Source organism: Homo sapiens, chromosome X (assembly GCF_000001405.40).
Source record: "Homo sapiens chromosome X, GRCh38.p14 Primary Assembly".
NCBI classification, from domain to species: Eukaryota; Metazoa; Chordata; class Mammalia; order Primates; family Hominidae; genus Homo; species Homo sapiens.
In genome coordinates, this window is record NC_000023.11 from 15442880 (window position 1) to 15461185 (window position 18306).

Sequence of the window (18306 nt, forward strand, 5' to 3'; positions counted from 1 at the left end):
AAGGTAAAGTAGCAAGTGCTGATGGAGAAGCTGCAGTAAGTTATCCAGAAGATCCAGCTAAGATCACTGATGAAGGTGGCTACACTAAACAACAGATTTTCAATGTAGATGAAACAGCCTTATATTGAAAAAAGATTCCATCTATGACTTTCATAGCTAGAGAGAAGTCGATGCTTGTCTTCAAAGCTTTAAAGAACAGGCTGACTCTCTCTCGTTAGGGGTTAATGCAGCTGGTGACTTTAAGTTGAAGCCAGTGTTCATTTACCATTGTAAAAATCCTAGGGCCCTTAAGAATTATGCTAAATCTACACTACTTGTGTTCTAGAAATGGAAGAACAAAACCTGAATGAAAGCTATTCTGTGTACAGCATGGTTTGCTGAATATTTAAGTCTATTATTGAGCCCTACTATTCAGAAAAAAAAATATTCCTTTAAAAATATTACTGCTCATTGACAATGCATTTGGTCAACCAAGAGCTCTGATGGAGATGTGCAAGATTAATGGGCCTGCTAACACAACATCCACTTAGCAGCCCATGAATCAAGGAGTAATTTCAACTTTCAAGTCTTATTATTTCAGACTTGAAAGTCAAAATTACTCTTTATTATAATTCATATTAACAATTAATATTCAATAATTTAATTGATATTAATCATCATCAATTAATTATTTTATTAATTACAAGCATAATAATTATAATTATAAATTTCATAAGGCTATAGCTGCCATAGATGGTGATTCCTCTAATGGATCTGGGCAAAGTAAGCTGAAAACCTTCTGGAAAGGATTCACTGCTCTAGATGCCATTGAGAACATTTGTGATTCCTGGGAGGGGATCAAAATATCAACATTAATAGGAGTTTGGTAGAAGTTGATTCCAACACTAATGGGTGACTTTAAAGGGGTTCAAGACTTCAGCGGAGGAAGTCACTGCAAATATGGTGGGAATAGCAAGAGAACTAGAATTAGAAGTGGAGCCTGAAGATGTGACTGAATTGCTACAAGCTCATGACAAAACTTCATTAGATGAGGAGATGATTCTTATCAAAGAGCAAAGAAAGTAGTTTCTTGAGAGGGAGTCTCCTGGTGAAGATGCTGTAAACATTGTGGAAATGACAATAAAAGTTTTAAAATATCACATAAACTCAGTTGATAAAGCAGTGGCAGGGTTGGAGAGTACTGACTCCAATTTTGAAAGAAGTTCCACTGTGGGTAAAATATAATCGAACAGCATTACACGCTACAGAGAAATATTTCGTGAAAGGAAGAGTCAATCAGTGCAGCAAACAACATCGTTGTCTGATTTTAAGAAACTGCCACAGCCACCCCAACCTTCAGCAACCACCACTCTAATCAGTCAGCACCCATCAACACTGAGACAAGATTCTCCATCAGCAGAAACATTAGGACGCGCTGGAGGTTCAGATGATCATTAGCATTTTTCAACAAAAGTATTTTTAAATTAAGGCATGTACTTTTTTAGATATAATGCTATTGCATACTTAACAGACTACAAAATAGTGTAAACATAACTTTTATATGCACTAGGAAGCAAAAAAATGTGTGATTCGCTTTATTGCAATATTCCCTTTATTACAGTGATCTGGAACTGAACCCACAATATCTCTGGGGTATGCCTGTGTTCTTTTTGGTCTTCTCAACCTCAACTCCCTACATTTGACTTCCACTGAATTTTAGGCCCTCTTCAATAAACGGGTCTGCTTTTGTTTGGCTGACAGACTTTGTCAGTTAAAACCTACAAAAACACTTAATGACAGTCACCAGAACTCTTGCTCAAAACTTCTTTTGGACTGACATGTAACAGATGGCCTCAAATCCATATCTGATGCTGGGAAAATCCACCAGCCAAGTCTTGGTAGTTACCTAGAGACACTCAAAGTCTCCCAAGGCAGACAAAAACAGGTGGGTACTGACTCCTGACAAGCAGAGCTGCCACAGCCAGGAGTGGAGGCTGCTGAGGAAAAGAATCTGGCTGGGGGACTCAATTGGCAGAAAACCTAATGAAACAGAGGCAGGGAGCAGTTTACAAGAAATCTGTTTGGTGGAGACAGGGTGGAAAGGCCCAAAAATCAATGTTAAAGGAACCAAGATGGTGCAGAAACAGTGTCGGGTTTTCTTCCTCCTTTTCACTGCCCAGCTCTCCCTCTGTCCTGTGTATCGCTTCTTTGTAACTAGAGAATAACACGTGGGGGTGGGAGGTTGGGTGGGGAAGCCAGTATTGTTCTTAGAGCCCAGAGATGAGAAGAAAATTAATCAGAGGCAGGTGACTGAAGGCAGTGGGACAGAAGAGCCTTGTTCTGGACATCAAAATGGCTTCCTTTAAAAAAGAGGCATTTAAATTTCTCTAATTGCTATTTATAGTTGATCTAGGGTAGAAAAATTATGACCATCATGGTTTCCTTCCATAATGTTAAAAACGATCATCTTGAACAATGAGAACACTTGGACACAGGGCGGTGAACATCACACACCCGGGCCAGTCGGGGGGTGGGGTTCTGGGGGAGGGATAGCATTAGGAGAAATACCCAATGTAAACGACGCGTTGATGGGTGCAGCAAACCAACATGGCACATGTATGCCTATGTAACAAACCTGCACGTTGTGCACATGTACCCCACAACTTAAAGTATAATAATAATTAAAAAATAAAACAAAGAGAGCAAGGGGGCTTTAAGGTTTTACGAAAAAGAGGTAAATTGTCATTGTTTTATTTCTCAACAAACCTGGAGGAGCCAGATCTTAATCAGTCCATATTGTATTCCAAACATAACAGCCATATTAATACAAAAGACTCCATTAGATGGCATCGTGAGAGCATTGTGCTTGAGTTTTGTTGGCTCAGGGAGGGAGGTAAAAGGTAAAGAATACAGATGAGAAACTAGCCCAGGTGAAACGTCATCTGTATATTCAAGATATTTCTTTTTTTTTTTTTTTTTTTTTTTTTTTGAGACGGAGTCTCGCTCTGTCGCCCAGGCTGAAGTGCTGTGGCGCGATCTCGGCTCACTGCAAGCTCCGCCTCCCGGGTTCACGCCATTCTCCTGCCTCAGCCTCCCGAGTAGCTGGGACTACAGGCACCCACCACCACGCCTGGCTAATTTTTTGCATTTTTAGTAGAGACGGGGTTTCACCATGTTAGCCAGGACGGTCTCTATCTCTTGACCTCGTGATCCACCCGCCTCGGCCTCCCAAAATGCTGGGATTACAGGCGTGAGCCACCACACCCGGCCTATTCAAGATATTTCTAAAAACAAAAGAGAATAAATTTGAAAAGTTTAAAAAAACTAAGAGAGAGAAACACACAAATTACCAAATTTTACATAAGAAAGATAAGAACTTTTCCAATTTTCATACTTTAGAAAATGAACGTGTGTTTTGAAGGCCTTCTTAAAGCATTGGTTTATACCACTGAACACTGTTTCTCTGTGCAGAAACACCTCTACTCATGCTGTCTCCTTCTGCACCATCTAGACCAGGGGTGGCCAAAATGGATTCCCTGGGCCACACTGGAAGAAGAATTGTCTTGGGCCACACATAAAATACACTAACATTAATGATAGCTGATGAGCTCAAAGAAAAAAAAAATCACAAACAAAAATCTCACAATGTTTTAAGAAAGTATATAAATTTGCGTTGGGCCATATTCAAAGTTGTCCTGGGCCGCGAGTTGAATAAGCTTGATCTAGACATTCCACCCTTCTTCACCAGGTCAGTTTTCTCCTTTAGACTTAGGCCTGTTTTCTTGGACCTCCAGATTGGACTGAGCCTCCTCCTCTGCTTTCCCATTAGCCTGCCATGATTTCTAGCGTGCTGACTCACCACAGTATACTCATGCTATCAGTTGATATGTCTTTCCCTTCAACTGCATCCATCCAGCCCCCTGATTTTTTCACCTTTTCCCCTCATACCTCTATAGGGTCTTGCATGCAGCTGGCCCTCAGTAAATGTTTGCTGAACTCATCTCATTTTACTAAGCCAAAGGAATACTGAACAGCCCCCGGATCTGCAATGGATGGCAAAAAATGATTCCCTGTGATTTTTATGACAGAACATGCTGTTCCTTTAATCGTTACTATCAATGATTTAGAGCTCATTTGAGTTGAAATGTCTAAATACTTGGCTATCTTGGAGTACATATACCTGTCCACAGGAGTAGAATTCCTTTTCAAAACAGATTTATTGAGATATAATTTACATACTATAAACTTCTAATGCTTCCAGTAATCAGAATTTTATCTGAACCCGAATTTGCTCAACACATTTGAGTGTGAGTTTGATCAAATTATTCAAAAGCTACATGATCCCAAGGATTTCTGCTTTGGTCAAAATGAAGTACTGTGTTTGCAGCTATCAACAGCATAGCTTTATATATGCTGATACCAGTTGTTTTTTTGTTTGTTTGTTTGGTTTTTTGGTTTTTTTTTTGTGAGATGGAGTCTCACTCTGTCGCCCAGGGCCCAGGCTGGAGTGCAGTGGCATGATCTCGGCTCACTGCAAGCTCCGCCTCGCGGGTTCACACCATTCTCCTGCCTCAGCCTCCTGAGTAGCTGGGACTACAGGCACCCACCACCACTCCTGGCTAATTTTGTTTTTGTATTTTTAGTAGAGACGGGGTTTCACCATGTTAGCCAGGATGGTCTTGATCTCCTGACCTCGTGATCCGGCCGCCTCGGCCTCCCAAAGTGCTGGGATTACAGGCGTGAGCCACCACGCCCGGCTGCTGATACCAGTTTTTAAAATACTGACATCCACTTTATTCATATCCATAAGAGCTCAGCTTTTAATGCAACATGCAAGAGTCTCAAGACAGCTCTCTGAAGCTGTCCTGCATTTTTTTCTGTGGTTAGAAAAAATATGTAATGTGTTCCTGGGAAAAGACATACTATATCCTAAAAGGACAAGTCTTGATGGCCATAGAAGTGATTACAATAATATGCTAAAGTGACCACTAACCTTTATTGAAGTTGACACCTTGGGTTTTTTTAATAGCTTTTATTATGCTCTTAGTCTAAATTTCCCTGCTAAGTTACAATCCTGATCACTAGGGCCAACAAAGTATGAATGGCACAGGGTGTTACTTCTGGTTTAAAAGTGCACCTATCCATTCTTCATTCACTGGAAGGAGAGGGCTTGTCGCCACGACTGAAATGTACTTCTTAGGGATTAGGTCAGCAGGGACATCTTGAATGAATAAGAACATCTGGCACCCTTTGTGCACACCAAGAATGGTATTTCTGGGGTGAGTGGGCTGCCCTGGGCAAGAGGAAGCTTTTGTCCAGCTGATTTGAGCAGATCCTGACCACTGTTTATTTGCACATTCCTAACTGCAAATGAAGTGCCAACTATGGCTGCCTACCACAAGACAAGTTCTTTGAAGTTGCTGGGTACATTTCTTTGGTGTCTTCCTATTTACTAAACAAGACTAGCAGACCTAATTGTGCCTATTCTCAACAGTGAATCCAAGCCAAGTTTTGCACTTGTCTGTGGAATGTTGCTGATCATCTGCTCAGGCTACATGGCCTGTAGCAGGCACGTCCCGTAGAATGAACTGCTTCATGAAACCTGAGATGAGATGGACTGCATATAGCATGCTGGGGAGGCCACTGCACCTTAACCTCATGCCCTACTATTTAAAACCTTGTGAGAGAAGGATGCAAGAATATGCATACAACAAACGTTGGCCTTAGGCAAAATCCAGAGGTAGACAAACTTGGGTTTTTCTCCATCCCCATATTTTGCATCATTTCCTTCCTCTTGCCCTGCCATAACTCCACAAGTATCTGGTTGCCTATGCAGCCTGCATCAGGATGCCTAAATAGTTACTGCACTCTTACTATCCAAGTCTTTATACAAGCCATTACAAGACGTGATCCCTGCCCAATCTTTCTTTCCCTTGCTCCATCCACACAAGCAGAATTGATTCTCCCTATTCTGGAGTATCATGAGATTTTCACATACTGCTGTTTTCGTATTTCCTGTGTCACATTATACTTCTGCTGTTTGCCGGTTTCTCTCCCAAGCTAGACTGTGAGCATTTTTGAGGACAGTGGTTGTATCTTATTCACATTGTATCTCCAGGGAACTGCATGATGTACACACAGCAGGTGCCTAATAGGAATTAAGGGGAAATGGGACATGTAAATTAAATGCCGTCCGCCCAAAAATCTCATGAGTTATGAAGACAGAATGGCTGTGTGAATCTGGGCAGAAGTTGAGATGCTTGTCGGCCAGGACAGCTGAGAAGGCTGCACCAAAGAGAGGGGACCTGGGTTGGACCTTGGTGCATAGAAGCAAGGAGATAAAGATGGGGAAATCCTCAACTCCTTTTTTTCTACAGTATTTTGCAGAATTCTTTCTCCCTAAAATGCTCTGCTTCCTCCCTTGCCCGGTGTCAAAAAGAGACCAGGAAGCTCTCTGATTCATGCGGATATTTCCTTTACTTTCTCCCCCTATCTATCCATTAAAATACAGTTATAGAATGTCTTAAAAGGGGAATTTCACCAGAATTCATTAGGGTGATTGTGAATTTCTTAGGTGGAACTTTTTAAAGCACTTCTCATAGCATTGAATTAAACATGAACCATAAAAAAATCAATGGAAATAATCAGTGGAGAATGGAGTTGTTATCAGAAAGAAACATAAATTGCATCATCAAAAATCTTGGACTCCTAAAATGATAAAATCATATTGTTTCCAGAAACTGCCTCAAAGAAATAATGGCCATCCAATGTTTTAAAATGTCTATTTAATGTTGAATTTAACATTGAATATTACAGTATTTTTCTTAGCTCTTTTATATTTGTATCCATTTTTCTTATACTGAAAATCTTGATTTCTATAAACATTAACAAATTTACTAATTTGTTTTATTTCATAATACACATTAACTTGTTATGAAATTATAAAACCAACACTAACAACAAAGACTATGGAGTAAAGTTTAAAATATTTTTTGCTGTTCTTTTTGTCTTTAGAATATATCCCACTAAAATATACAGCCAGGACATCATGTTTAAAAGCCCTTCAAATAAATGTTTTCTCTGTGTGGTTATGTTGCCAATATCTTTATACCAATTTTAGATTCTTCACTTGTTTCTATTTGTTTTTGATTTTAAGACTTGTTTCTTTTTTCTTTTCTGGTTTAACTTGATATTTTAAATATGTAAGCATTTCTATCTTTCAAAAGTAAAAATTAAAAGACATACTGAGGGAAGTTTCAGGTCCATCCTTATCCCTGCTACCCTCACCCCAAAGGGAACATTTGTTAAATATCCAGTTTTTAAATCTATCACAGAGCGCTCTGATTTATAAATACAATAAATTAAAAGAGAGGTCTTTGGAAGGGAGAATTCCTTCCCAAGCAAGTGTTGTTTTTCCTTTGCTTGCTCTCTGGGACAGCTGGAGCCTGTTTACTCAAGCTCCCTATGTCAGAAACCCAGTGCCCCTCTCACACTCTCTGCCATTAGGAGAGTATCTGTTATTTTTCTTTTTTTTTAGCTAGATCCATGAACTTGCTGGAATATTTCAAAGGCAAAAAAAGTGTGCGCGTATATGTTACCTGTTTCCATGATTTAATAGTTTTTTTTTAATGCTACTTCAAAATATTGTTCTCCTGAGCTTGAGAAGAAAAGAGCAGCCTCCTGTGGGAAGAGTCCAGCTCTCTCCACATCACACAGTGGACGGAAGCAAATGCAGGAAGGCAGGTGAGGGAGGAGCTCCTTAAATGTGCCCAATATAATCAAAGAAGTCAAATTTCCCCTGAAAATGTTCTGAGTTTACTAAGATGCAAAAATGTTTTAAGTTTACCTTCCAGTATTCTGATTGCCCAAAACCCACTGCCGTTTGCATGTGCTATAAAAGTATTCCCCTAAAAGCCACATAAAATATATTTTTAATCAAGTTAAGGTAGAAGGAATACTGACAAAATTGCATTTTGGTGATAAAGTGTTTCAAATAACATCCAGCCCCTAAAAGTCTCTTGGATGAAAGCAAAACCTGGAAAATGTGGGCAGCTATTTCTCTCTAGTTCTGGTACAGGAAAAATCGTGTGTGTGCACCAGTGGCTTGCACACACAGTGGCTTGCACAGTGGCCAGGAGACTCCATCAGCTCTCCAAATCACAGGGGATTATTACAGGCTTGATTATAAATTACTTGTCAACCCACAACCAACACAGGCCAATTAGTGGGCAGGTTGCTCGTTGACTAGGAAAGAATTGCCCGAGGGACATGGGGTCTTCCAATGCTTGTACAGCTAAACCGGCAAGGGAGGGGAGATATCCACAAGAAATGCCTAGAAAGCTGATAAGTATATCCACTATTCTGGAGCTCAAGCCATGCCCTGAAAAGCCACATGGAAGAAGCTAAAGCAGATAAGAAGACACCTGCCTGTGGACTTCCAAGGGGAACCACAAGCCTCTGAACCTTTGTTTACCATTATTGTCACTGCTTGAAGAAACCTGCAAGAACAATTTGGGTCCTGCAAAAGAGTTCACATTTAAAGAAAAAAAAAAAAGATCAATCTGGCTTTTATTTCCTTACTTCCTAGTCCCTTAAATAGTTTATTTTATTTTAACATATAATTTAGCTAATTTTATTGTTCTCTTAACTTTTTAGTAAGCTCATTTTAAGCTTATTTCACTCATTCTTAATCCCTATATTGTCTATCTTCTTACTACTTTACCTTCATTTCTCTTATTCCAGCATCCATGTATATTTTAATGATTTCATTTACTCATTTGAAAATATTTATTGATCATCTGTTATCTCTCAGGCATTGTTTCCGGTGCTAAGTGCACAGTGGTATGATCTGAGTGAATTACATGAGATGTTTAGCAGGCATTTTTGAAAATTAAATTTTTTAAAGTTTGGTTATCATCCAACACATGAATATACAGACTGTCCATCAGAAGAAAGATTCTTTTGGTTACATTTGTAGGCCACATGAAAACTGCCCAAAGATTTTGTATGGAAGTGAAAATAGCAACCACTTGCAGAGGGCTTACTCTGCACCTGTTCTAAGTACTTTACAAGTAATAGCCAACCTAATCCTCCCAGCAACCCTCTGAGCTGGGTCATTATAATCTTCTCCATTTTACAGATGAGAACACTGAGGCACAGCAATCTTAAGTGACTTCTTCAGAGTGAGTCAGTGGTGAGCTGGCCTTGAACCAAGGCCATCTGGCTCCAGATTGCCTTTCTCTAACCCCAGTGGGGCTGAGGCCTCCTCAAGGTTTGCTTCTGACAACAGAATTTAGAGCAGCAGGAGGCAAGTAGAGGCGTGTTTTTGGAAAAAGAACTGTGTTCCAAAGAGAGCTGGCAATAATATTGCTGATTAGTTGTCTGATAAGGATGGAATGGGGTTTGGAGAATTTCATACTTTCATGAAATAAACATGTGATTTTGACCTTCCAAAAGTGACAGGAACTATTCAAACTATCCCATTTTAACCTTTTCTCCCTGTTCAGCCTTCACTTTAGACCATGCTGTCCTGGCAGAATCTTGTTCTGTCTTGGCTTTCCAAGGGTTGAATAAATGCTCAGACACATACAACCTGGGAAACAGGCATACAGCTACCCTTGGTAGTATCAAAAAGGCAGTTTTGTTGCTCATAAAAGCGACAGTATCTTATTCAAAACCCCCCTCACCTTTTTTGTGGATGTCGGGACTGAGGTCCAGAAAAGCTAAATAAGATTTGCCAAAATTCACAGTACTAGATCATTTGACATCTTCTATAGGAGCTTAATCAAATGATTTCTCAAGATGGGTAAACTCCTGTGTCTTGGATCCCATACCCATTATGCATGTTCCAAAGAGTGGTCCCCAGACCACAGTATTGGCATCACCTGGGAGCCTGTTAGAAATGTAGACTCTTAGACCCCATCTCAGATGTGCTGAATCAGAGTCTGCATTTTATCAAGACCCTCAGGTAATTCACATGAATATTAAAGTTGAAGAAGTGCTGGAATTATTGCTAATTCCATTTTCTAGGTATTTTAGTTGCAGAGATGGAAGTTGTTGTTGACTCTGTATTGGTTATAAATACACTAATCTCTTGAAATATATATTCTCAGCCTCACCTTGTAATTTAACCTAAAATTGTCTTCCTGATGCGAAACAATCTTCAGTTTCTTTTTATGGTAGGTCTAGACCTTTTAAGACCCAGTCATTCCTTGTTAATCAGATATTAAGGCTTCAGATGTGCAAAACTATGTTTCTTATGAGACCCACAACGAAATCACCAGTTGCTCCCTATCTTTAAAATGACTCTTACTGGTGTCCTTTCTTGAGTGCAGGTTAATAACCCTTCCCAAATCACAGCAAATCCCTTTAGCTTAGATGGCAGACATAAATCTCAGCCCAGCTCCTGTTCAAGTTACCGTAAATTAATCAAAATAATAACTGCCACTTATGTGATGCTTACAATGTGTCTGGCACTATTCTGAGAGTTTAATGTATAAAAAGTCACTTAATCTTCACAAAAAGTCCTATTTAATAGATGAGACACTGAGGTCCAGAGAAAGTAACTGGCTTGCCCAAGGCCACACAGCTATTTCATGGTAAGGATTCTAACCCAGGCATTCTATCTCCAGAGTCCATGCAGGTAACCACTGCACCACGCTGCCTCTTGAAATCTAAATTAATGCTGCCCATGGTTCCAAGAAGCGTTATTATTAAAATTCACTCGTAAGAAAGACTGGTCATTTACTTAGGAGAATATAATTCACTTCAGAGATTTTATTCAACAAAAATAAATAACAGAAGCTGGCAGGTACTAAGACATTATTTTACAAAGTTAAAACATTACCTCTGGTTTCTTATCCTTGGCTGTGATTACAAGACCACATGGTCTGCTGCTTGAAAGTGCTTTACTGGCTCCAACTTTAAATTGCCTTATGATTTCTATAAATGAGAAGTAGTTGTAAACTCTAAGGATTCGTGATATCACTGGCTTTGCTAATCAACTAAATCACTGGTCTGATTTCTCTTTTGAACTGCCAACAGTTCAACTCTTTTTCTAAATCAAATCTTATGGACAATCACAATATATGAAATCGGGCAAAGTCTTCTGCTTTGGTTGAAGCAGAAGGGGGCTTCTTGCCCTCTACTATCCATCTCACTATCCCCTAAAGGCATGTCCCTAAAACCTCAGAGTCCTGGAAACAGGGAAGGAAAATACCATGTGAGATGGAGTGAGCAGCTTCATATCTGTATTAATTCAGCTCCCTTTAGACCGCTCTGCCTGATACTATACTGAACAATATCTTTTGCTGCTACACCAGGAAGTCCTCACAGGATCTTAACCCTCTTCTGCAGAGCTCAAGGGAAAGAAACTCTTCACAAACAGCTGAAAAGGGCACTCACTGACCAATGCTTGGCAAAACAGAAACGAGTCACAGAAACACAACAAAGGGTCTTTTCCAATGGCAAAGTAAGCAATAGGTCTGCCAGGGGTGTGGACAGCAGTCAGGTATGCTTAACTTTGTGAACTTTGATTTTTTTGTCGTTGTTGTTCAATTACTTTTGTTTGCACTAGAAACACAAAACAAAATCATATACCTAGGCAGGGTACAGGTAAAAAAAAAAAAAACAAAAAAACAAAAATAAAAACGGTAAAACTTTGGTTATAGTTCAGGAAATACAAAAACTGGTAAGTCCCAACCAATAACCATGACCAATCTGTTAACCATCCCATGCATCCCATTGAGTGGTTGGTTAGTAGCCACTGCCAAGCCATTATCCCTGATGGTACACATCAAAAAATTAAAATTTACAGAAGTTAGTTTTAGATAGTTTTAAGTGCTGGTTGTGCACTGGGAGAATGGCAGAGTAACTCCCACTATCTTGATGCACTCAATGCCAGGTTCCATGTGTAGTACCCGATGTCAAGGCTTCTCCCAGATCCCCTCAGATCCCTTTTAACCATTTCTGTGCCTCCACTTCAAAGTTAATGGCCATAACCAATGACCATTGGGTAAGGGAGCATGAAAGCCCGGCTCCCTTGCCAGGGATGGGCTCGGACATCTCTGAGGCACGTTGATCTTTCAAAGTCCCTTGCAGGATCAAGGTAAAGCCACCCTCTTTAGGACTCTGCCTGAGATGGCAGCCTTGCTTCACTTCCTCCCCTAATTTGTCCTGATTCCTTTTACTGTTCTCCTAGGAACGCTTACTTAAAAATCTCTTGGATGGGAATCTTCATCTCAGGGTCTGCTTCTGGGAAACCCCACCTAAGAAAACACACTACCTCAGATTGGTTGGTGTGAGGAATCTTATGCTCCCCAGGAGCAGTTCTGGTGTGCAATTAACATGGCATTTGCCGCACCCCTTTCCTCCCACAAATATGTCCATAATCTTTAGCCTAAATTGACTTATTTAATCAAAAAGGTGAGACTATAAATCCAAATAATATAAAGTCCCAGTTGAAAAGAATGTACAGGGCATGTCGTGTATGGGTTGGACAAATTGTCAAGTTAAAATTTAAAAATAAACTTTCTGCAATGTAGTAGTGTGCTTTCCTTACATTACTAAGTTGGACATAAGTAATTTACATAAATCTTTGTGAAGTGGAGTTTAGTCTTGCTTTTTGGTTGTTTGTTTCTTAAAGGTAGCAATCCTGCTGTACTAAGGAGCTATAATTTAAAGCATAAAATTGCACTATAAGTGAAAGGAATTAGGCTAAATCAGCACACATATTAAGACATACTTTGAAAATTGCTCCTCGACCAAACTTTATATGAGCTTGCTTTCTTGTAATTTTCCTAACTCTATGGGTTTGTAGGCAGGAAAAATTTCTGAGTTTTCTTAGGTTGCACTTATTCTGACAACTATGAATCAAGTCCATCCCATGGGACATGAATTTTGGTAAACCTAGTGAGAGCTAACAATCCAGAAGGGGCCAGCCTTATGTCACTGCATGCCTCAGGTTAAATAGACACAATAGCCTGGCTTACCTTTATTCCCAGGGCTTCTCCAGAAATGACAGCAACTGTCACACCATCCTTACTGGGTTTAGGGATTTCTTCACTTTTCAGTTCCTGGTACTGAGGCTCCACCATCTTCTCTGAGCTCCTCAAATTAACCCACAGTTGTAGGCCATGGGCTGGCTCCTCTGAGCAAGGCATCTCAGCGTGCAGAATGCCCCGGCCCGCAGTCATCCACTGCAAACACAAAACCAACAAGAGGGAAATGTAACCAAGCTCCTAATAAGTCTATAGGTGGAACAATTACAACACCATCACTAAGTGAGACATCTTACCAGTGCTGCTATCAGAGCCCCTGGGCATCGAGGGGAATAATAAACATCAGTGACAATTGCTGGGGCCCTTTCCAGTTTTGCAAATGCTTCCTGTGCTTCCTCACTTGAAATCAACACATCGGAACTGGAATTCCCACAAATGGAAGAATCCTCTCTTTGACTTCCCTGAGTCTTAGATTAAGCTCTAAGATGGGGAGTTGCAGGAAGATAGTATACTGGGCTGTGTTCTCAGGAGATACAACTTAAGTAGTGAAAAAAGCAGGATTGGGCAGGGGGAGAAGCTCCCCAGCAATGCAGTTACTACAGAGGCTTTAGCCAATCCAACAGGGAGCTCTGGAGTTGAGATGAACCTTCAGAATTGTCCCGACTTGAGACAATGTGGCCAAGTTTTTATATCCCCACATCAGCAAACCATTGACTGTGGGCCATCCCCAGGTGGAAAGCACAACTTTGGGTGAGGCAATTCCCTGCTGCAGAGGGCAGTTCCTAGGAAGGGAAGCCGTTGTGAGCCATCAGCAGCCAGTGTTCCCAGACATTGGAGGATAAATATGTGGGCCTACAAATACATTTGGAGGTCCCCAGTATCCACTATACTGTGGATGGTTAACTTGTATCTGTACTTGCTCAGTTCCAGTAATGGAACCCTCGCTACTTGGAGAAACAATTATTGCCTCCACTGTTATGCAGATTCTTCAAGTGTTTGTTCATGTCTGTATTAAAAGCAGATTAGGGACCAGCCCCAAAGACTAAATCTTGGAATCTGGAGATGAAGGTATGAACATCATAGATGCATTTCCTACCTGTCTTAGTTTGAGTTCTCCCACAGAAGTTGTGAGACAAAGACATGTGCAGGTTGTTTATTTGGAAAGTGATGCAGAAAGCACAAGTGAGAGAGTAGGGAAGAGTGAGGCAAGGGAGAAAGCCAAAAAGAGTTGTTAATGAGAAGGTTATATCTGTGGACATCTGGAATTCAATCCCACTGGGAACCATATATGTACTTTGAAATTGTTGCATGGAGAAGAGGGGAAGCTAGGGTATTTAGACTCTAATTCCCATCCTTCACTGACCAAGAGTTCCCATGGGAGTGTTAAATCACTGACACATATGGTCTGCCCACATATGGTCAGTGAGGGCTGGAGAAAGCCCTCAGACAGAGTAACAGCACTTGAGATGGTACTGTACACATACGGGGACCATCACCACCTGAACTCACAGTTGGGCCAAAGGGCTATGAGGCAGGCCATCAACAGCATCTTCCACACAGCCCTCATCAGGAGAAAAATCCTTAAACAAACAATGTCATGCATATCATTATTGCCATTATAATTGTGCTTGTGCTTCGAAGAATGACAGGGTTCTGTGAGCACGTGAAGTGTCCTGCTCAGTTCAAGGCAGCTTATCTGAGGGTGCAATCTTCAGGCTGAGATCCAAACAAGGAGTAAGAATTAGCCAGGGGAAGGGGAAGAGGAAGAGGATTCCACAGAGAAACAACAGCATGTGAAAAAGAATCTGAGACAAGAATGAGCATTATTAGTTGAAGGATCTGAAAGGAGGCCAGTGCATACTTTAAAGATTTTTTTCTTCCATGAAGTCTAGATTTCCCTCTACTCCCATTTGAAAAGGCTTGTTAAACCTTCTAATGTAGGAGTTGGCAAACTACAGCCTGGGGGCCCAATCTAACCTGCCACCTGTTTTTGTAAAAGTTTATTGGCACACGGCCATGCCCATTCATTGACATACTGTCTATGTCTGCTTTCATGCTGCAATGACAGAGTCTGGTAGTGGCAACAGAGGCCATATGGTCCCCAAAGCCCATTTGCCCTTTATAGAAAAAATTTGTTGACCCTGCTCTAATGCAGTATAAGGTATACCTAAACACCCTCTTATGCTGCATTTCTTCTGTCTAATGATAGTTATTGGTGTCCCTCAAAGACATCCTCCCATTTTTAAGCATTTTCCTTTTCCCTTTAAAGTTCATTTCTTCATATTTTCAATACCTTGGTTATCCTTTTTAGATATGAGCTAGTTTGGCAATACTTTACCTAAAATGGCCTATATATTGGATCTGGAAGGGGAGAATGGGGTTCTCTTTCCATCCTCATCATTTACTAGCTCTGAGGCTATGGGCATCTGTTTTTAAAAACATCTTTAAATCCCCATTTCCTCATTTTTAAAAATGAGATGAGAATAATATTATGGTTCTTTTTGCTGGGCACAGTGGCTCATGCTTGTAACCCAAGCACTTTGGGAGGCCAAGGCGGGTGGATCGCTTGAGCCTAGGAGTTTGAGACCAGCCTGGACAACATAACGAGACCCCATCTCTACAAAAAAATAAAATTAGCCAGGTGTGGTGTTGTGCACCTGTGGTCCCACCTACTAGGGAAGCTAAGGTGGAAGGATCACTTGAGCTGGGGAGGTCGAGGCTGCAGTGAATAGTGAATGCACCATTGCACTACAGCCTGAGCAAGAGAGTGAGGCCCTGTCTCAAAAAGATAATAATAATACTACTTATCGCAAAGAGATCATGCATACAAAAACTCTGAATAAACTGAAAGACACTATGCAATCATCATCCTAATCAATGTGAAGTTATAGTGGTAGAAGAAGTGTTGACCACTGTCTCACACATATGGCTGCTAGGCAGCTCCATGGTGCAGATGGCAGAAGTCACCACTTCCACGATCAGGACATTTCCAGTCATCATATGTATCTTTGCAAGCAGTCTTCATTTCATGTTCTGCTCCAGTGAGAGGTTACTATTGACTTTTTGCCATGACTTTTTTCTTTTGCTTTTTTGTCTTTAAATTTCACTTTCATTGAAATATTATGATTCAAATATGTGAATTTATCATTCCTCAAAACATATACATATAAAATCCCAGACAGTACCTGGTATAGAGTTTCGACTTACAAAACTGGCAAATATGACCCAAGTATTTTGGGGGATTTTAATTGTAACATATCTCAGACAAGACTAGGATGATGGAGGGCTCGAGGTCATTGTCTTAAGTGATAACACCTAACCCTGCAAATGAGTTGGAAGATAAATAATACATTGTCTCAAATGCAGCAGAGAGGTCTAGAAAGATGAGGACTGAAACAATCACTGAATTTGGCAACTGGGACATCACAAGTGACCATTACCTGAATAGCTTCAGTAAAGATTTGGAAGGGGCTACTGAGAGGCCAAATCTGATCTCAGTAAGTACAAAACGAATGAAAGATAAGGAAGTTGGGATATCATTCCTGATTACTCTTTTGAGAAATGTAAGAAAAAGACTAGGTGGGAGCTAAAAAGTGATTGAGGGGTCAAGGAAAGTGTGAAAGAAGAATATAAGAGACCTGTGTGGTTTCCAGGCTGAGTAAAAGAATCTGTAGAAAAGGAAAAGTCAAGAATATAATAGAGAGAGTGTGGAAAGGGTGAATGTACTGGAAGTGGGCAGGATCAAGCACGTGCACCCAAAAACTACTAAACCACCAGCAATTCCTTGTCCTTGGCCATACCTGCAAATCTCCTGGGTTCATTTTACCAGTGTGTCCACAGAAGTCTTCATGGGCCATGCTGCCCCCTTCCAGGAGGTAGGATACCTTTGAAAAACAAACAGGAAAAAAAGTAGATCCTTTGCCTATTTTTAAATTGGGTTATTATTTAATTATCCCTACTGACTTGTATGAGTTCCTTGTATATTTTGGAACTTAATCCCTTATTGGATAATATGGTTTGCAAACATTTTCTCCCATTCCGTGAGTTGCCTTTTCATTAAAAAAAAAAAAAAAATAGGCAAAGGACTTGAATAGACACTTTCCCAAGGAAGACATACAAATGGCCAACAGGTATATGAAAAGGTAGTCAACATTGTCAGAAAAATGCAAATGAAAGCTACAATGAGATATCATCTCACATCTGTTAGGACAGCTACTAGCAAAAAGTCAAAAGATAACAAGTGTTGGTGAGGGTGTGGAGAAAAGGGAATCCTTATACATTGCTGGTGGAACGGTAAATTAGTATAGGCATTATGGAAAAGAATATGGAGGTTCTTCAAAAGATGAAAAATAGAACTCCTATACAACACAGCAATCTCATCCTGGGTATATATCCAAACAAAATAAAATCACTATCTCAAAGAGTTATTTTACACTCCCATGTTCATTGCAGCACTATTCATAATAGCCAAGATATAGAAATAACTAGAGTATCTGTTGACCAATAAATAGATAATGTGGTATATATACACAATGGAGTACTATTAAGCCTTAAAAAATAAGTAAATCTTGCCATTTTCAGCAACACGGATGAACCTGGAGGATATTATGCTAAGTGAAATAAGCCAGACACAGAGGGACAAATACTGCATGATCTCACATAAACAGAGTAGAAGGGTAGCTACCAGGGGTCAGGAGGTAGGGAACATGGGAAGATGTTGATTAAAGGGTACAAACTTGCAGTGACAAGATGAATATGTTCTGAAGACCTAAAGCACAGCATAGTGACTAGAATTAATAGTAAGTATTATACACTTAAAATTTCCTAAGAGAGTAACCTTCTGTGCTCTCACCACAAAAATAGGTAACTATGTGAGGTAATGGATACCTTAGCTTGATTGTGGTAATCATTCCACAATGTATACATACATCAAATCATCACGTTGTACACCTTGAATATAAACAATTTTTATTTGCCAACTGTACCTCAATGAAGCTTGAAAAAAAGGAAAAAGAAAAAGTGTTATTGGGTAGCTGTGAAGACGTGTTTGCTTTTTCCACAGAAAATTTGTTGAGGAAAGTGTCAGGAGCAACTAAGAGGAGTAAACTGAGATAAAGAATCTCTGTGACTGGGCCACATTAGCCATACAATGTCTTTGACAGAATCTCACCTAGGTGCCCCTTCCTCCTAGCAGATGCATCCCTGAGCCTGCCAGAGCTCACAGCTGAGTGAAAAGAGCCGCCACTCACCCCTTCAGCCCAGCAGATGATGGTCCTGGCATGGTGGGCCCTGGAGATTGGGGTGAAAGAGAGACAGCTCCTGTTGAACC

The 18306-nt window shown here is 40.4% G+C and overlaps 1 protein-coding gene and 1 long non-coding RNA gene across 3 annotated transcripts in view; both read right to left on the bottom strand.

The window, feature by feature from the left end:
- PIR-FIGF (PIR-FIGF readthrough) overlaps positions 1–18306 on the bottom strand; it is a 145719-nt gene that overhangs the window by 97289 nt on the left and 30124 nt on the right. The window contains exons 3-4 of the long non-coding RNA NR_037859.2: positions 16778–16861; positions 12969–13175 (exon numbers count right to left, since the gene is read on the bottom strand). This is a non-coding gene — a long non-coding RNA (PIR-FIGF readthrough). The remainder of the gene's footprint in view (positions 1–12968; positions 13176–16777; positions 16862–18306) is intronic.
- Positions 1–18306, bottom strand: part of PIR (pirin) — a 108535-nt gene that overhangs the window by 58081 nt on the left and 32148 nt on the right. For both annotated transcript variants that reach the window (NM_001018109.3, NM_003662.4), the window contains exons 4-5: positions 16778–16861; positions 12969–13175 (exon numbers count right to left, since the gene is read on the bottom strand). In NM_001018109.3, the coding sequence (NP_001018119.1) occupies positions 12969–13175; positions 16778–16861 (291 nt within the window). The remainder of the gene's footprint in view (positions 1–12968; positions 13176–16777; positions 16862–18306) is intronic.